Here is a 20,653-nt window from a genome sequence, read left to right on the forward strand (position 1 = left end):
AGCCCACAGCCTCCTTCAGGGCCAAGGCAATGGAAAACGGGATTCTAAGTCTATGGATTGTCCTGCCAGAAAGGCTAGCCAGAGCAGGCCTGTGGGCCCAGGCAGCTGGCATGACAATCTGCCAGCTGCTTTAGGGAGGGCCCTTTGAGATCCCCTCTGCAAAACTTGTCTGGGGGGTTGTGGCACCAGGTGGAGGAAAGGGGGTTTCTGATGAGGTTTTAACACACGTCTGTTCTAAACCACACCCACTCTTTTTGGCAGCAGATCTGAGTGGGGCCACCTCTCTGCCGTCCCCCAAATAGAAGCAGGGCTCTCAGGCAGGACAGTGCTTGGGCTGTTCAGAGTTTCGGGGGCGCCCTGTGGCCCGAGGCTGGAGGTAGGAATGCAATGGGGATGGCTTCAAAGCCTCAGGGAGGAGGGGCTATATTCTCAAGAGTAGAAGAACAGGACCAGACCCAGGCTCAGGAATCTCTCACCAGGGCCTGCGGTTGGCCACAAGGAAGCCAAGGCAGTGGGAAAATGACTCCCTGGTGCTGAGGATCAGCTGAAACAGTGACTTCTCACCAGAGGGCTGCGATGAGCAAGCAGCTGACAGGTCAATCTCGGCAGACAGACCAATGGCCGGAGCCGGTCTTACAGGTCTTGAGCAAAATGGTTTGGGTGGCCTCCCTGGCTGGAGCATTTCTGAGACCCTCAGAGATGAATTGTGCTGAGCTCACCATTTTCACATTTGGTTGCTTTCTGGAGAACAGATGTGAGTGTCCTGGAGGCCTGAGACATACCAGGGGACCCTCGGCTCCTGATAGAACAGAACAGATCCAAGCCTGAAGCAAGTGTCTGAGGACTCGTAGTGGGATGCTCCTGCTCCACTCAAAGATCGATATCGGGGTATATCCCCACCACCACATACACTCACAGGTCCCGGGTACAGACCTCACTGCCCTCAGGGAAGCCCCACCCCTCCTGAGACACTGGGACATTCTCTTCTCCCCATTCATTCTCCTCCCAGCTGTGTTGTGAAGAAAGAGGACTTGGCAGAGCAGGAATGCGTTCTGGCTAGTCTGAGGATTGCTAGAGTGTGCCAAGCTCAGATCCATGTGCCAGGGACCAACGGTGAGTGTGTGGTGCTCCATGGGAGCAGGGAGCATGTGGGTGCTCCATGGGAGAAGCAGCAGCACTCTTCTATCCGAGCTTCGTGGGAATCCTCCCATGAGCAGGCAGGGCAGCCCCTCCCTCAATGCCAGACCTGGACAGGTATAAATAATGGAGCCGCTCCTGGTGGGGAGCCAGGCACCAGCACCACTGCAGCTCGGGAGAGTCCCACCCCAGCCTGGAATTTCACTGTGGCAGGAAGGGAGGGATTGTGTTAGGCTCACCAGGGAGCTTTCCTGCTGGGCACCCCACAGAGGCAGTTCCCAGGCTTGGTGGGACATGTTGCTCAGCTTCTCCTCTGGGTGCTGCTTTCCTTGTCAGCAGAAGACAGTGCAGGGCCCGCCCTGCTGCTCTCCCCATCAGAGAAAGGACAGTAAGCTGGCTGCCCTGACCTCTCTCGCAGAGCTGTGCAGGGAATGTAGGACCTGGTCAGCATTTCATACATGGAGAAGCCCTTCACAGACACCAGGGAGAGGGTGGTATCCATTCGTGGAACAAGGGTTAGGCAAATCCTGCCATCCCAGCCCAGGATTCCTTCTCCTCAGAGCCTCCACTCCAATCTGTAGGGCTTTAGTAGAAGATACATTTAATAGAGCATGATAAATAGAACATGTTCCATAAAACAGCATTTGTACATATCCTCTAAGTCCCCCCCAGCAGGGCAGTCTCCAAGGTTAGGGAACATCTCTGCATGGCCCACACCCTCAGCCCAGCCTTGGGCACTGGAAGTGTTCTGCAGATATTTTTTGGAGTGAATTGACAGACAGAAAATCCTCTTCCTCCGCTCCTTCCCCAGATTGTTATGTGAAGCCCACAATGGCAAGAACCTCAATTGCTTTTGCACCAACCTATATCTACACCAACCTATGTATAACAGAATGTATATACATTATATATATTCACATATATTTCTGTGAATCCTCCAGCCCTATGCTGAGTCTCAGAGTCTTGTCCATCTGATTTTGTCTCTCAGTCCGTGTCTACAGGATGAGTCTGTTGTCCCCTTCACACTGGGTATGCTCTGTGTTTAGGATTTAGGATTTAATCTAGCATTTAGGATTCTTTATTCCTTAGGCTTCCCTCCATCCTTCTTCTTCCCTCACCCTTATTCTGAGGGTGTTCTGCATCTGAGCCCACTAACAAGTAGCCTGCACGTGCCACCCCAGCCCCCAGGCCCCTCCAGGAGAGAAAGAAAGCTTTAGTGGCCTCAACTTTGCAGCCCTTCCACCTCACGCTTGTTCAGCACAAAAAGTGGGGAGCAATAGTTGAGGTGTGAGTCACCCTATTCATTGGGCTATGGTTGGCAGCCCCATCAGGGAGCCTGCAGCCAGATTCGCAGGATGGGGAAGGGCAGATGGAACAGCGGGCCAGCCCAAGATAGCTCTTCACAAAGCCCTAGCCTCAGGGGGAATTGAGGGAAGAATTTTCCTGCCTCCACCCAAAGCCAGCGGAATCTTGCCCCCATCCCAACCTGGGTCCCAGCTCTGGTCCTAGCTAGATTCTCAGAATCACAGGGCCCTGAGGGGAGTGGCCACTCTGGATCTGCAGAGCTGGACACACCACCCCCTCCCTCCTACAGCCCAATGTCTCTAGGGCTTTCAGACCCCAGTCTGAAAACCGGACTAGGTAGAAAGGCAAATGTCCAGACATAAAGCAACTGCTCAGCCTTGGCTCAGAGGGCCTTTGGAGGTGAGTCCCTGCTGCCATTATTGAGGTCATAGTGACAAGTTACCCCCTGGAGTTGAGTTTTTCTTGTGCACGGGCTTCGCACACATTGTGGGTCACAGCATAGGTGCAAAAGCATGTGGCACCACTCCAGACCATGTGTTGGTCCTGACCCAGTCCTTGGATGGGTCTGGGACCCTGAGCAAGTTGCCTAACCTCTCACTGCATAGTTTTGTCCAGTGCAGCTGGGAGAGAAGGGAGGGGCCTGGGCTCATTGGAGGGGCCATGCAAGCTGGAATTTTAATTTTGAGCTGGCTGGGGCTGAGCAGGAAGGGAGGGGCAGGCCTGCAGGGGGCTGTGGGGAGCAGCCTTGGCCCCCATCCCTTAGATTCAGCAGCCGATTGGCCCTGGCAGGAGAGGGTGCAGAGCAGAGCCCTCCGCTTCCCTCCAGCAGGCCCCTGCAAGTCTGAGGAATGTTCTTCCCTCGTATGAAAGGTGTTTTGCTCATGGCACACCAAACTCTTTGAAAATCCCCCTTGGTTGATTGAAACTATGGGCTGGAAATCAACAAATACTTTAATTAGTCAGAGGGACTAAAAAAGGATATACAGCAAAATCCTCTGCGCTTTGCTTTCTCATAGAGGGTGGTTTTATTTTTTAAATAAACACTTACGTAGGAGTGACCATGTGCCAGGCACTGCCCTGCACACTTTACATATATGAATATGAAACTAGAGCATGCAAAGAAGGGCTCTTAGCACTTCCTCAGCTTGGCTGTCCAATGTAGGTGTCAGTGTGTCCCATACTCTGGGGATTTGCAGCCTCCCTCTTCAGTGGAGAGGCAGAGACATGACTCATTTACACCAGGTTGTATCCCTGCAGCATCAGAGGTGCAGAAGGAAGCTTGCTGACATCCCCAACTCACCCACTGTTCCATTTCTCCCTGCTACTTTCTGTTCTCTCACCAGTAGCCACAACTGGGAACGGGGAGGCAGAGGAGACGCTACAGCTGCCCCCCTCCCCAAGTTTGTGTTTGGCTCAGGGCTTCCTGGTCCTGGGAGGGAGGGCAAGTGCCGGAGACAGAGCCTTATTCCATCTGGCTTTCCTGCTTTGGGTGAGCACTGATCATGGGTGGGGGGAAGGTGGGGTGAGTCAGGTGAGCTCTGATCATGGGTGGAGGGCAGGTGGGGTGAATCAGTACAGAAGGTGGTAATATGGTGAGGGAGAAAAGAAAGTAAATGACAGCATTGAGGCTGGAGCTGTTGCCTCTCCCAGGGCCACCCTCAGGAAATGCACTCGGCATCTGCACAGTCCTCAAGGCCATGGGACACCTTGCTGGCCCCAGTCCCACCGTCTATGTGAGACTGTGACCCTGTGTCCTTCCCCATTTCCTCCCTCAGACTCCAGGACACACTCGCAGCTCCCATCTTCATGTTCCGTGAGCACATGTGAACACTGACCTGCTCACTGTCCACTTGGACCAACGATCACTGTTGAGGGTTTGTGAAAACAGGTTAAGGCTTCTTCCAAGGGAGACGCAGTGCAAAAAGCAACTGAGACAAGAGAGCGTGCAGGAGTGTTTCAATTCATGCCAGTCATTGAATCAGGTCCTGTTCCACATGTGTGACTTGGCCAAGGCAGATGCCATGCACTGGACTTCTGGACTCTGGTTGTGTGACCCTGTACCCTTCCCCATTTCCTCCCTCAGACTCCAGGACTGCGAACAGGGCTGGGTCTCCTCTAGGATCTCCTTACCAGACCCAGGATGGTGGCCCACACCACTTGACAGTGACGGGTCACTGTGCAAGGGCCGGGTTAGGGAAGCTGGCCTGACTTGGTTTCAGAGAAAAAAACCAGCCCAGTGATCCATCCATAGAGGAACAGGCTGAGTTCAGGGAGGTGGAGCCTAACGCCAAGCCCTTGGCAAGGTGAGGTGAGAGCCAAGCCTGGGTCCTGGTCCTGTCCCACACGCTGTTGTTGCCCTGCACTGCCCATCTGGGCCTCAGCAAGAGCCTACTTGTCTCCCAGTCCAAGGCTGCACGTCTCAGTCCTCTTCAGAGAGCCATTTCCCGAGGGCTGTGTGCATGACAGGGCTGACAGGTGACTGTGATGGGTGAGGGTGTTTTTACTGCTCCCCACCCCTCCCCTGTCCAGAGCCCTCATGTCCAGGTGCTGGTCTGGGTCTTTCCAGGGAGCAGACTGGCCTTCAAGCCTAAGTTAGCACCGAAGCCTGTTCCTCCAAGGCATTTGTCTGCTCTAGGCCATGAGGTCCCACCAGTCTGCAGACGCTGATCGCCTCTACTCCAGTGGCTGATAATAAGGAGTTAGAATTCACACATGACTCCCTCTGCCCGTGCCCAGAGCCTCACAGTACTTAGCTGGGCCTCCAGTCAAACCCACATCCTCTGTAACAGTTGTCAAGGACTCCCACTATTTCTTGCTCATTCACAAGTCCCTGGTCCCCAGGGCCTTTCGGCCTCACCTCCACTCTCCAGCCAGGTGGATCCCTTCACAGCCTCAACCCCATGTCGGCCGGTTCCCGATTTAATGTTAGAGGGTCAGTGCTCAGTGCTGGTTCTGCCTGCTCCCTCCCTCCCTACACTGTGCCTCCCCACTCCCATCTTCTCTGGCACAAAACGTGAAACAAGGACCCAGATGCCTTCTCTGGCAGTCTCTTGCAAATGGGGGAGATGTGGAGATGTATCTGACGATTTCTAGGCAGCTTGTCTCTCTGAAGTTCTGGACTTTCATGATCCCCAAAAAGCTCACAGCATGGGATGAGCCTGAGCCCTCGATGTGCTCTGTGGCTTGGTGAAAGATGACAGCAATCACCACACTTGAGTGGCACTGACTGTGAGCCAGGCATGGTTCTGGATGTATCAACTCATTTACTCCTCACAGCCTCGTGGGGTGGGCCTAATATGATCCCTGTTTTGCAGATGAGGAAACTGATGCCCTGAGAGGGTAAGCAACTGGCAAGTGACAGAGCCTAGGTAAGAGCCCAGGCAAGGGTGTCTCCAAAAGCCCTTGTCATCACCATTGTGGGCACTTGGATTTTCAGTGCAGGACTTGTGATTTGACTCTGAAGAGGATGACTTCAGCAGAGGCCTCAACCTCCGGATAGTCTGTGAAGGCAGCAAACAGAGAGGGCCCCAGATACCACTCAGCAGTCAGTATACCATAACATCTTCCAGCAGCCCCAAGAGAGAGGGACCCCTGCCCTGGAGTATAGACAGGGGAGGTGCCCTTGGAGACCCCCTCCCTTCTCTGAACTGCCAGAACCCAGGGCAGGACCACTAAGACTCTGGGGCAAGACTCAGGGGATTGGGGTTCCCTATAAAATCCTATACAATGTCCTCAAGGGGGAAGCCTGGGGATCGCCTGACACCCATCTCCCTCCTACCCTGGCACTAGGCCCAGGGCAAAGCCCAGATGCTTCCTGGGGCAGTCCTTCCAGATGCATGAGACGTGGCTAACAACTGCTGATACTTCCTAATACCTTGGGAGTAGCCCAGTGTCTTGGCCCAAGCTTCAGCGATTCGCTCTATTCCTCCCCTCTCCAAACCCCACAACCGCTTATGGCCAAGACACTCAAACAGGGCCCTGCAACACTTTGTTCAGGATGAGCAGAGGCCATGATCAGGAGAGTATGAAATGGAATAACCCAGCCTGAGCATTATTTGGCATTTTGGATCCTTTGGGATGGGCCAAACCACCCTGTGGCCTCTTAGAGACTGACCAGCTCCTTGCATGAGGCTGCCCCACTTAGAAAAGAAATTAGCACCATTCACTGAGATATGTAGCCTCGTTGCTTTTGGTGATACTGGACCTGATTTCCTCCAGCCCTTCTTTGAAGTGAATGGATACTGAGTGCTTACTGTGTGCCTGACATTGTGCCAAAATGTAGCATGCGTTATCTTACTTACTATTCATCCATATTCATCCACAGGTGATCAGCACTACTATTTGTCCCGTTTTCTGAGCCTCAGAAAGGAACATGTCTTACCTAAGCTCATATGGATAATATTTGTCAAAACTGGAATTTGACCCCAGGTCTGGCTGCTCCTAGAGCTTATGCTCTCAATCAGCACATAAGGGGAATTGCTGAGGGGACCCTGAAGAGCCAGTATCCCCGTCAGCAACATCAGCAGCCCATATACTGAAGTCACGCAAATAGACATGCCACTTAAACAAAATGGTATGCTCCTCTGCAAACCAGCTTTGACACAGACCTGCCATGCCACCGCCCCTCCTAACCAGATCGCCACCTCTAAGCCCCAAGCCCTACCCAGGAAGAAATTCTGGGGGTACCACTAGGGTCATCAATGCCACAATGCCCCCTGCAAGATGTAGCTGCGAGCTCTCTGGGTCTGTGAGGCCCAAATGCTCTCCATCTCTACCCATCAGCCTTCCCAGGCAGGGCTGTGCCAAGGAGTGAACAAAAGCTCCATTCACCATGACCCTCTCCCCGCCCCCACCATGCCCTGCTTCCCTCCTCTCCCTGCTTCTCTCCTCAGCCACCTGCCCCAGGAGTCCCAGCCAGTTTCTCAATCTGCTCTGAGGCCTTGACCCAGCCATCAGCCTCCTCATCCCCAGGCCATCCTGGAAGGGAGGGCCTCAGTGTCCAGGGCTAGGGAGACACTCAGCAGCCACTGACGCCACGCAGCAGATGCCATGACCTGTCTAGGCCTCTCGGGCAGCTGACCTGGGCATCCCTGAGGGCTGGGCCCCCTCACTCTGGCGTCAGTCATGGCCTCCTGCAGGTTGGCACGCCACCCTCAGCAAAGAACAATAACACGTTATGGTCTGCAAGTCCTCAGGTACAACATGGCTCCATTGTTCTGAGTCTGGAAAATGATCTCACTCTCACCCTGAGAACCAAGGTTAGCCCCAGTCCTTCGGTGAAGCAGGGCCTTCCTTTGCCCAGGAATGCACAGTAGCTTCTTATTGGCCTTATGCTCAACAATTCGTTCTTCTGGGTCCCCCTTCCTCATCATCCCTCCTACCATCTATGATAGGTGGAATAATGATCCCCAAAGAAGACCCCATCTTAATCCCCAGAAACTGTACATCTGTTATGTTACATGGCAAAGAGACATTAAGGCTGAAGATAGCATGAAGGTTGCTAACCACCTGACCTTAAAATAGGGAGATTATTCTGGATCATCTGGGTGGGCCTAATATAATCCCAAATGTCCTTAAATGTGGAAGAGGGAAGCAGGAGATTGGAGTGACACCGTCTGGGGTGAACTTGATCCCCTGTTGCTGGCTTTGATGAAGGGAGGAGGGCCATGAGCCAGGGAATGTGGGCAACTTCTAGAAGCTGGACATGCAGGGAAGCAGACTCTACCCCAGAGTCTCCAGGAGAAGTCAGCACTGCCAGCATCTTGATTTTTGCCCAGAGAGACTGTGACCTCTAGATCCATCACATCTCAAATCTGTGCCGTCTTACCAGAGTTTAGGGTAACTTTACTACAGCAAGAACAAGAAACAATGTCTAGACACACCATCTCTATCTAGATTCGGCTGCAGCCAAGAGAGTCTTCTTTTTCTCTGCCACACTCTGGAGACCCTCTTCCACCTTCATGGTCTCCTCCCCTGGCCCTGCCTCCCAGCCCTGCCTGCCCTTCCTTCATCGTGAATTCTGCTCCTGGAAGCTCCCTCCAAAAGGTGGCCTCCTCCTGAGGACCGCTTTTCACCACACTTACTTGCCCACCCCACAGACCTCGCTGAGCACCACTGTGTAGCCGCAGGCATTGGACTAGGTCTATGGAATAAGTGAGCAGGCAGCCTTCACCATCCGCTGGAGAATCTGCCAGGACCCTCTGCGGGACGTGTGCTTTACTGACCCAGCGTCTCTATGTGTTTGAGGGTTTTGTCCACCGGTCTCAGATAGAAAGCTCACTGTGGATTTGGTCCCTGAGTCTACCTTCCTCAGTACCGACTTCCTCTCCCCATCCCTCCACATTGCTTTGCCCCAAGGCTTAGCAGGAGCTGTGCCCTGTGCTGACTGCCAGGCTTAGGTGCTCACTCTCTGGCTGAGGGGAGGAAGAACTGGTGCTGGAATTAGACCCACCCTTTGGCTACTCTTTGATAGCAGTGAGCCCTCAAATCCATGCCTGCTGCACCCAGAGGTCTGATGAAGCACATCCCACCTTCCCAGCCTTCTCCTGGTTTGTGGAGGGGATTGGTCTCCCAGCACCTCAGTGGCCTCATTTCCCAGGCAACTGGCTCCGCCCATTGCTGCTTTTGTCCACTTTTGGTTCTTCCCCCATTGCTGGCTGCTAGGTACAGGTTCTCACTCTGGAAAGACCAAGGAAGGCAAGATGGCAGCTTGCAGGGAATAGTCTGGTTGGTGAGGCATATGTCTGTCCTAGAATATGACACCATAACTGGGATTTCTCTGAGGTCGTTGCCCTGGCAGACAAATGTAGACATTTCCTGAGAGGCCCAGCTCCTGTGGGGAGGCAGTGAAAACCAGCCTGATGCACACCTTCCCCCCAGATAGTCCCAGAGGACTCAGCCTGAAAGAAATGGACCCTGTCCATCTTCCCAAGGCCCCATAGCCTTCTTAGTTGGCAGAGAACTGTGGCACCCTTTGTGTAGAATCTTGACAGAGTCTACTGATTGAGGAGAAGAGGGGCATGCCACATAGGTTTATCTCATCATGACCTCAGCAGGGAGCACAATCTAAAGACAAAGTATTTGATCTGAAAATAGCTTTGGGCTGCTCAGCAACTCTGTCCTGCACTTCACCCTACACCCTCGTGAGGGCTCCCACAGCCTGCACCCTCTCCACTCCCCTCCAAGAAATGAGCATGGCGGGTCCTAATGCTGGGGGACAGCTCTAGATGAAAGTGGAAGGGAAAGAGTAGACAAGACCTTGAGTTTCCTCCCTGAGGAAGCCAATCCAACATGGGAGTTCTAACCCCCAATCCTGGGGTTCACATTACCAAATTGAGCCCCACCTTGTGAGTCAGTGGGGCAGGTGCCTCCCAAGGCCTCCAGCGCCATGGATTACCTGCCTCGGTCAGGTTCTAGAGCCCAGCTTGGCCTTGGGCTGGGCAGCAAGTTGGCTCCAGGCTTCCTTCCTATCTGCTCAGGTCCAGCCTGCAGTTGTTTTCCATGGACAAGAATCCTAAGATGGCTGAGGCGGGCCGTTTCCAAAACCCTCCTGAGGGCTGAGGGCAGGAGCTTGTCAATCAGGCTTCAGAGTCTATACTCCCTGTTCCTATTCATCTTGCTCTGAAGCAGAATTGGCCTTTAACCAGCCTGGGAAGCATCTCTCTTCAGCACGTGGCTGGGCCCTAAGTGACACCGGCCGCCTGGTCGCAGACATGCTCCTCCACCTGCCTCTGAAAGCAGAGTGGCTGTGTCTCCCTTCCACCTCCCCTTCCTGGAGCACCACAGTTGCACTGTGCTTGCCGGGAGGCACCAGAGAAATGGAGCTCACCACATACGCACCAGACCCACCGTACAGCTGCTGGCGGTTCTCACGGCCAGCGTGTTCTTCGTCATTGTGAGTTGAAATCTGCCTCCCTCTAACATCCACTTCCCCATCGTTGTTCCGCTCTGTGGAGTTTCACAGAAGAGGATCAGACCCTCTTCCTCTTTGACAAGTATTTCTATGTTTGTGGACATTTCTTGGTCTCCCTTCTCCAACTCCAAGGATGCTGACTCCTAGGGAGAAGACATGGTTAAATCCTAGGCTGCTTACACCGGCAGCTTCCTGACCCAGCTCCTCACAGCCCTCAGGAGTGTCTGCAGCCCTTGCCACTAACGCAAGCCCAGTATGGCATTGCTGGCCTCTCCAGCGGTGCCCCTTCAGCCCTCTTTCACATTTATATGAGTCAAATATTTCCCAAGCTACGGTCATTCAGGGACCACCAACAGAAGTTTGCCTGTATCCACAAACCACTTGTCCTGTTATTTTCTTTAATACGTGTCTTGTTTAATTGGCTTACATATTGACCTAGTATATTTGTTTGATAAGGAAACTCTGTTAACTACTGACTTACATATTTTCTAATTACACCAAAATCATGCCATGACCATAACACAGGCTGTGCCATGCAACCTGAAGTGATTTTGTGTGCCTGCAGCAGCATACCCTTTCTTCCCAGGGAGCTCGGCTTTACCACATCTGCCCTCCCCTCTGCCCCTCCTCAAGCCTTGGCCCCAGACGACTTCTAACATAGCTCTGGGCTCCTCCTTTGAGTAAGTAGTTTTAGAGATAGACCTTTCTTGTTTCCTGGGTCCCTGTTCATTCTCCAGCCTGGAAGGCCAAGCCTTTCCCTTGCTCTCTGATCTCAGGCCTCTTCTCCCACCACACAAGGAACCTCTCCTGCAACACTTAGGAGAGGGCTGGGTTGTGGGGCCAGGGTTCATGCCTGGGCCGCCTTAAACCTCTGAGTGTCCAGCTGTGTGCCTGGATGAACACACACCCCTGATGCAGAGTCAGGGTGGCGTGGGGGAATCTCTGTAATGACACCATCGAGGGGCTGGAAACCACAAATGAGCACTTGGAAAGTTGTACTGCAGTCCTTAGAGGGTGAGAGGGTGAGTGTGGCAAACTGCAGCTTCTGACCAGGCCGTCAAAACAACAGGGGCTGTGGGAGGTTCAGCCTGGGTGTGTTGGGGAAGGGGGAGAAGGCTGTGGTGCCCCACCCTACCCCACCCCACCTGTGATAGGTGCTGCCTACAGAGAGATGCTGGGAACCACTCCTGCCGCCCTCTGGCAAGACCTGGGACAAATACCTGAAAAGCTTCTCACCCTAACGCACTTGGCTTCTCCCTGGGTCACTGGGTCACTGGGCCCCTTGCTTGGTTTTGACCGTCTCTGCAGTTCCTGCCCAGTCCCAAAGGCTGACTCCAGCTTCATCCTTTTCCCTCCCAGACCCTTACTGTTGGCCCCACACAGAGTACCCCTCCTCTCTGGAAGCCCTAAGGACCCTTGCTACTCCAGGACTTGGACCTGTGTCTTCAGGTGCTGGATCTGGGACAAAAGAGGGAGACAGTAAAATTTCTCTCTCCCTAGGTAGGAGAGAATATGGCCGGCCACTTCACCCTGGTGGCCCTAAGCATGTTTCATAGTCCCTCTGGCCCTAAATTTCCTTATTAATATAAATTGGTTGGGGGGGGGTTGCTAATAGGATTGTTGAGGATTTAATAAGAAATATCCTTAAAGAACGTAGCTCATGGCCTGACACACAGGAAACCCTCAATTAACTATAGCGATGATCACTATTCCCACCTTCAAGGTTTATCTCTGTGTTTATTTCCCATTCCCATTTCCTTGACGGGCTCTGCACCTCTCCTTTCCTATCCCGTCCTCCTGTCTTTTGACACCGGAAGCTTGGCCTGGGTACCTGGTTCTCCCCCAGTTGGTGTCCCAAGTGTGGGTGCTGTCTCCAAAGTCCCCTTAGACTTGGTCAAGAGGGGCCCCTGCCTTGGGCCTTCTAGTTGCCCTTGTTCCACAGAGTGAGGAGTCTGCAGGGCCAAGGGCCATGCTCATGGGGTCCACACTCCCCTTCTAGACCCGCTCAGCTACCTAAAACCCCAGCATTCCCTCCCCAGTGACTCCCAGCCCACGCTCAGGCCTGTCCTCTGGAGAGCAGACTGCCGGGTGCTGGGCACACCTCTAGGCTGTCTGCAGATTGTGGTTGTGTAGGCAAGGGAGCAAAGCCAGGGGTAGGAAGAGAAAGGGGCAGGCTGCAGGCCAGGAGCTGGGAATTCTCTCCATGCTGCCACATTCCAGAGTTCTGGAACTCTGACGAGTCCAAAATTAAAATCTCCAACTGAGCCTGGCCTACTGGGTCCGTCTGTGGGAGACTCAAACCTCTTGGTCCACTGGCCTGGAGACATTTTAGAAGTGGAGGCTTTGTCTCGGAGCATGGAGGGGATAGGCCTGCCTGGGCTCCCGGCCTGCTGACTGTGTTCTGCTTGACACCAGGCCAGCTGGGCTAAGCGTTCAGATGTAAAGAGGAAGCTGCTGGGGCCTCCTGACAGCAGATGCAAAGCTGAGGTACCCAAACACCTCGACCTTTCTCAGGGGCTCATGTAAGCAAATTGCTTTATCAGCTTTATCAGTTTTTACATTTTCCTTACGCATTTTCATAGAATTTGCCCCATATTCCATGCCATTTTCTCAGGACATCCTTTTGAGCATCCTGGACCCAACCGTCTTCATATAAGAAGAAAAATTTTAGTTTTGGTTTCATCCATGATTATCCTAGACCCAAACATTTAGAAATAAGTTGTTATATGGAATAGCCACCCGAAGGTGTGAGTTTGGGCATAAAAAGCACACATTGCATATATCCTTATCTGTATAGAGTCACGTGGACCTGATTCTGCCACCTTCTGGCTGCGTCACCTGGGGCAAGTTATTTAACGCCTCTAAGCCTCAGGTTCCCCATCTGTAATCTGAAGCCCTGGCCTAGTAGATCTCTAGATAAACTCTAACATCACTCCTACCCCTAAAACTCTGGTACTTACCCCCTTTACTCTTCCTTCTTTATTTTGCATTCAGCCCAGGGATCTCATCTTCCCAAAGCTTCTTTCATGTTCCTGCCCCTTTTACCTTCACAGTTCCTGACATTGGAGAAGGCAGTGTTTTAAAGCCCAGCTCCAATGCCCTTTAATCCAGAAAGCCACACTCTTCAGTCGCTACATTGGAAGACCCACCTTGGAGGCTGGACGGAAACCTGGGGGTTCACCCAGCTCAACCCCCTCATTTAACAGGAAGGGAAACTGAGGGCAAAATGAGGCAGTGACTTAGAGACAGAGCCAGGTCTGGAACCCAAATGCCCTTTAACCTTGCCACCTCTGGGATCCACAACCCTCAGGGCCACCATTTTAACTTGCACATATTATTATTACTGTGATCATCTGTGCTTCCTTAGAACCTTAATACCTCTGAGGGCCAGAATCACATTGTGTTCATTCTGTAGCCACCCTGTCCTGCGCCAACCCTCCAGCATCATCCCTGTACCAGATGGTACCTCAATAAGTGTCTGTTAAGTTTCACTAAACATAAATCCCATTTTGATCGTTGCAAAAAAACCACGTCTCATTTGAAGACCTCCCTGTGTTCTTATATCTGACTACTGTTGTGGTAGAGCAAACTGAAAGGGTTTGCAAAAGCCGATTGTTAAATTTTGAAGAACGTTGTGAGCTGTTATTAAACATAGCCATAATTCAAATTAAATTATGTAAAATTATAGTTAAATACATTGCATTAAAAACAAAGGGAAGAAATGTTTAAAACTCATCATTTTCTAATTTTATTATACTTTACTTTGATATATTATCAAAGTTCTTGTGGTTGTTGACATTTATTGAATCTACATGCAGAAATCCCCTACCATGGTGTTCACATCTCTTTCCAGCCTGTAATCAGTGACATCATGTTGGTAGCTTGAAATCACCTTTGTGGGAGAATTTACCCCAAGCGAACTGGCAAGCACTACAAATCAGAGCTTGGTTTATTGTTTGGTTGATTGTCTGGAGCTGCACAGCCTCACACAGCTGCCACTAGTTCCATGTGGCTAACTGAGCACTTGAAATGTGGCTAGTCCAAGCTTAGATATGTCATATGTACTGGATATTGAAGATTCAGAATGGAAGAAAAGAATGTAAAATATATCATCAAAAATGTTTATATTGATTATCTATTGAAAGAATAGTGTTTTCTATATATTATGTCAAATATATTAGAATTAATTTAGTCTATTCCTTAAATGTGGCTACTAGCAGATTTTAAATAATATCTGTGGCTTTCATTGCATTTCTACTGGACAGCTCTGGTCTAAATTTAATAAAGTGATGGGGAAAATGTTTATAACGTAGATTAAAATTAAAAGTATGTTGTGCCCATTGATAATAACATTATGAATAGCCAAAAAATACAAAATAATATCCCGGTATTTAAAACCCATTATCTGATTCAGCCAAAAAGTCACTCACATCATTGAGGAGCAAGTAAGTTCCAACATTCATCTTCATCATTTCACGTTCATCTTAACTGTGAAGATGAACATGGGAGCTAACATTCATGTGGGGGCTATGCTGGTTTGTTGGTTGCAGCCACTGGCCAGCCATGGGCATAAGAGTTTGTCAAAAGCCAACTGAAAGCATTCCATGAGGGTCACTTGGCTGTATCAAGTTTATAATAAAGAGTATTGTAGGGCTGGGCACGGTGGCTCACGCCTGTAATCCCAGCACTTTGGGAGGCCGAGGTGGGTGGATCATGAGGTCAGGAGATCGAGACCATCCTGGCTAACATGGTGAAACCCCATCTCTAATAAAAATACAAAAAATTAGCCGGGCGTGGTGGCGGGCGCCTATAGTCCCAGCTACTTGGGAGGCTGAGGCAGGAGAATGGCTTGAACCTGGGAGGCGGAGCTTGCAGTGAGCCGAGATGGTGCCACTGCACTCCATCCTGGGCAACAGAGCGAGCCTCCGTCTCAAAAAAAAAAAAAAAAAAAGACTTGTAGATTTTATTATTATTTGTAAACTGTATGCTACATATCTAATATAGCAGTAAAACTTCTAGTAAACTTATAACATAAACATAAATACACATTTACATGTATATATATTTGTATATATACACATCTATGCATTTTTTCAGAGAGCTGGTTGTTAGGCTCAGCAGCACACTTTAGTTACCAGCACACCACTGTCTCCACCCCTCTCGCTACCCTGTGAGCCCATTGCCCAGGCCCTGTCCTTTGTGGCACTGACAGCCTGTCCCTTCCCTTCCTTCATTTTCCAAATCCGCAGAGTCTCAGAGGTGTGGACTAGAGGTCCCTGCGCCTCCTCTTCCCCTCCTCCCTTTTTTCCACTTTGGACATCTTTTTCAGTCTATTCTCCACTCCACTGTCCTGCCTCCCATCCCAGTTTGTAGACACGTGCCCTGGATAGTCAACCACAGTGCCACAGAGATGTCATTCCCCAGGTTGGCACTCAGCCCCAGCCCTGCCTGCCTGCTCTTGCCCTTCGGTACTGGCTGCTGACAGGCCTGGCACTCAGGATGTCAGGTGGTGACTAGGTCTCCCACCTGTCTGCTAGTCTTTTCTAACCCCATCAAAGATAGCTCTGAAGCAAGACCAAGGGGTGCCTACATCACAGAGAGGGGAGTCTGTGCCAGTGAATGGTGTCCAGAGCACTGGGGACACAGCTCTGCGGCTCTGCAGGTTTCTTGTAATCGCCATCATCGCAAACACCTTGTGCAGCCTGCAGCAATTCTGCCATGAACACCACACACAAAAAACACTACACCACCCAAGCTGTGCCCACCAGGAACCTCCAGGATGCAGGGGACACATTGATCAAGACTTCCAAAGGTCGAGGAGGGGGTACTTGGGGGTAGAAGTAGCAATCCTGTTTAAAGTAAATCATGAACTTTGGAGCAAGGCATGGCCTTAGAAGGAGACTCCAAGAGTTCGGTTCAGGGAGAAGTACAGGGGAAAGTTCCACTGCAGTGGGGTGAGATGGAGAAGGAAGTTAGAGACTGAAGCTCTGATTAGTCCCCTGGAGGAGGCAACATTTCAGAAACGTGGTCTAAAATACACTGGTCTAGGGCACAAGAAGAAGGAGGAGGAGACAAGTACTCCCGCTGCTGGGAAATCGATTTAGGACTAGAGTCCCCAGTGAACCCCTAAAAATTACCCACAGTTTCTAGGGTAGGTATTATTGTATCTAATAATAGTAATCATTTATTGCTATAGCTAACATTTATTGAGCTCTTACTATGGGCCTGGGATTTTATGTCTCAAACAAAAAGATGCAAAGAAGTAGTTATTATTATTATTATTACTGTTATTGTTATTATTATCCTCACTTCTACAGAAGCGAAAAGAGACTCAAGAAGATTAAAGAACTTGCTAAGTGTGGCAGCCCTGCTGGAGGCTGGGCCCAGAGCCAGGCCCCTCACCCCTGCAAGGCATCGCTCCTGCAGGATCGTCGTCACCCTCATCATCGCCATCCTTGTTCCTGACAGGCAGGAGATCCTGGTATTTTTCTGTGTGCTTCCCCTTCTCCATCCCTTTTGGTGATTTTCTGAACATTGTGCAGTTGACAGTGTGGTCATATTCCCATCGTGTAGATGAGGACCCTGAGGTACAAAGAGGTGACATGGGAAATGCTGAGACAGGGCGCAGGTTTGATGTGTTTCTCAGTAGTCTGAAGCAATTGAGAAAAGTAAGTGCAATGCAGTAAATCTTTCATGGGGCTAGCTTGACTTTATCTAAAGGGCTGAGCTTAGTCTGAGAGAATGTCCTTCCTACTGTTAAATTGTCCTTTTCTTTTATGAAATGATGACGGTAGTGGGTGGTGATTGTTGCACTCTTAATGTCCAATTTTGGCAAAATAAAAGGCTGGCTCTCTGGAGCTCCAAATCAGCCCCAGCAGCTGATGTGAAATGCTGTTTGATGATGGTTGACTCCTAACGTCTGACTGTAGTGGTCTGGAGGCTCTGGGCCTGGCTCAGGGCTCCCTCACTGCACATCTCTTCCAGCCAAAGCATTTACCCAGGGACACCTACGCTGCTCACAAACATGAAGGATGCTCAAAGGTGTGGCCCTGCCACCTCCATCTGAGTTGGGAAAATGCCTTCCATTACCCCTGACCATGGATTAAGGGGTCTCAGATCCAGAGAGCCCTGAGGCTGAGCTGGACTTGCCTGGGAGGATGTGCAGAGGGAATGCCCCAGCCTTTCTGGCTTCAGAGGGTGCAGTGTCCCCACCAACTCTCTTTCCAAACCTGCCTCAGCCTGCATGGGGCCCCTTTCCCTGGTACTCACTTTGTTTGCTTTGGGGAGAAAATCGAGAAAGAATCTTCCCTCTACCCTCCCTTGTCCCAGCCATCCCTAAAGCAGTCCAGTGTTATGATTCATCCACCTTTTATTTGCTTCAAGGATTTTCCATGGCATCTCAGAGGCCCCTCTCTTCCCATTTGGCTGGATTCCAAGACCATTAAAGATCTATTCAAACAAACAAACAAAAAAATCTGGATCGAGTGAGGGCAGCTGGTTCCCATTTGGCTCAGCTGTGATCCTGAAGTTTCTGTGTTATGGTGTAGCCTTCATTTCTGGATCATCAGTGGATTTCTCTACCGCTTTCACTAGCACCAGCTGTGGACTGCAATTGTACTCTAGTCAAGTATGGAGGGAATAAGAAATAGTTATGGCAGAAACCTGGGCTTGAAAATGCATCTCTCCTTGAGCTGGCACTTTGAGAAGGCCACAACTGAATGAAGGGACATTAGAGAGTGAGCCTCAGGTCAGGCTGCAGGCCTGGGAAGGCCAAGGGTAGAGCCAGCTGGGAAGAGACAGTCCTCATTGCTGGCCATGGAGGGAGTGAGCTGTTGGGAGCAAGGGCCCGTGTGGCTGGAGGGTGAAGGTCAGATGTAAGGTAGAACTTTTCTAAAGCCAGGATGGGAGACAAGATGGCCATCTCCAGCCTGCTGGACCACCACACCAATGTCTGAAGAAAGGCCCGTGCCCGGAAGAGGCCACTTGCACGGCCAGCCCCATCTCCTCTCTCCCTCTCCAGAGCCTTCTTGCTGGTCTCAGGTTTCATTCTGATGGTTCTGCTCCCAGTTAACTCAGCTCAGGATAAGCTGTCCACCCCAGTCTGCTCCAACCTCTCTCCCTCCAAAGTCACGCCCACCCTCCACACCCCAGTTCCACCTCAGTCCACCACCTCCTCCCTCTCCCAACTCCTCCCTGTCCCCATTGCTTCCTGTGGGTCCCACACCTCCTGCATTGCTCTAGCCACCTCTGGACCAGGGCTTCAAGGAAGGCAAAAGTGGAGCTGAGTCCTAGGCACTGTCCAGACACCCCCAACACTGAGAGGATCCACCTCCACGGCCTGGAAGTGACAACAGGCCACAGCCTCTGCGGGCAGCATGCAGTAGGAAAGCCCAGGGAAAAGGGACCCAGCCAGTGCCTGGGACCCAGAGACATCAGGCTTTGGCTGATGGAATATGATAGAAGTGCCAACAGAAAATGGGCAGGGAGCCTGCAGGACATCAGGGGAGGGTGGAAAGGTGCAGCCGCAGGGGCACAGAGTTCCCATCCCGGGAGGCAGGGCAGTGGTGTGGAAAGAGTGTGGGTTATGGAGAGACAGACCTCACCGGATTCTGGCTCTGCAGCCCTGGGATTGGTATGTCTCTGCCTTGGGAATAATAACACCCACCTCAGAGGGATGATGAAGGAGCTGTGCCCAGCCTCCAGAGCCTGGCCCATGGAAGGTGCTCCACAAACATCAGCTTCCGTTTCCCCTGCCCAGTACTCTGGGTTTGAAGTGCAGGACAAGCCATGGGGGCGAGGCTCTGCAGATGGAGAGAAGGAGCTGAGCAGTGGCCAAGGCTGGGAGGCCTCCGCCACCTAGGCAAGACGCCCAGGTGCCATGGGAACCTGCTGCTCTCCTCAGCCCCAGAGGTGTCCTGAGGGTGCCAACCTCCATGTCTACAGCCGGCTTGACCCCCAGCAGCCCCTGGTGGTTCCCTCTCTGGGCTGCTGTATCTGGCTTGGACTGCTGCAGGCACCCTCCAGTTGGGTGTCCTGAGGACCGGCTCCTGTCAGTGTCCGCAGGGAAAGCCTGGAGTCAAAGCCCCATGGGGAGGAGAGATAGGCCATCAGCTCATGCTGAGTGCAAATGGGTGCCAGGCATGTGCTGGGAATATGAAGGTGAAGGCAATCCAGTCTCTGGTCACTGGCACTAGGATAGTTGCCAGAAAGGACCAGTAAGTCCTTTCTGTGGGAGTAACTGGAAGAGAGAAGGGCTCTCTCCCAAGTGGCAATTGTCAAGCATTGGGCCTTCACTGTCTGCACTTGAGGAAACAGACTCCATAGCGAACAAACTATGACTCCTCTCCTCATCTCCCATAGTCCTGCAATCACAGCCCCCTCTGTCTTTGGATGCCTTCTTCACCCCGGCCCCAGCCATGCAGCCCCGCCCCCAGGCTCCCTCTTGCACAAAGCGCTCCTGCTCAATGAAGCTGTCCAGTTGCTTGTAGTGCTGTCTTGGGCCAGTCTCTGTCTCCAGCCCAAGAGATCCTCCAGCATCTCCATCTCACCTTGGGATTGACCCACTGACATTTTGTTCCCACTGGTAAACTAAACGGAGCAATTCCTGCTATACAGTACAGAAGCCACCCCCCATCAGGACACCAGGGCCTTGTGAAGAGTCCCTGCAGCACTAGTCCTCTTCCACATTTACCCTGCGATGGCCTCTTCCTGGAACCTTCCAGCTGGGGGAAGCAGGCAGGTGGCAGCACTGCCAAGAACAAACTCCTGTCCAGACTTGCGAGCCGGAGGCCTGCACCCACTGTTCTCCCCGTGGCCCCCTAAAAGGCAGACAATACACAGGGTATCCTTGAGGTCTAGCCCAGGGTGGCTATAAATAGGCTGGGGCTCTGATCCTCAATTTTTTCATCTGTATAATGGCCGTAACAACAGTCCTTCACTCCCAGAGCTGTTCTTAGGCAATGGGCATGAAAATGCTTTTTAAACTGTAAAGCAACAGGTAGGCACCCATCAGAAGAAAAATATGCACTATCACTTCCTCCACTGGTGACCGTGGCAGACATTACTAATCGATCAAACCATTCTTTCCATCTGTATCTGGATGCCACCATAGCATCCCCCAAATCACAGTTTAGGCTGATGGCTCCCGGTTCTGGCTGCTCATTAGAACTCCGTTGCTGACTTTTAAAATACACCAGTCAGTGCTTAGGCCCTACTTCTGGTAGCCTTACTTAATTGGTTTGGAGTAGAGACTTAGACAGCAATATTTTTCTAAGTTCCTGGGTTATTTTTCAGCCTGTT

The 20,653-nt window shown here is 51.5% G+C and overlaps 1 annotated feature.

Annotated features, from left to right (window-relative positions):
• Positions 805–1,770: an enhancer, noted in NCBI's record as "H3K4me1 hESC enhancer chr12:52916085-52917050 (GRCh37/hg19 assembly coordinates)". NCBI's record gives its function as "activates a minimal SCP1, AML or CMV promoter by ChIP-STARR-seq in naive H9 embryonic stem cells {active_cell/tissue: H9 hESC(naive)}" and the evidence as "EXISTENCE:reporter gene assay evidence [ECO:0000049][PMID:30033119]".

This window comes from Homo sapiens, chromosome 12 (genome assembly GCF_000001405.40).
Source record: "Homo sapiens chromosome 12, GRCh38.p14 Primary Assembly".
NCBI lineage: Eukaryota > Metazoa > Chordata > Mammalia > Primates > Hominidae > Homo > Homo sapiens.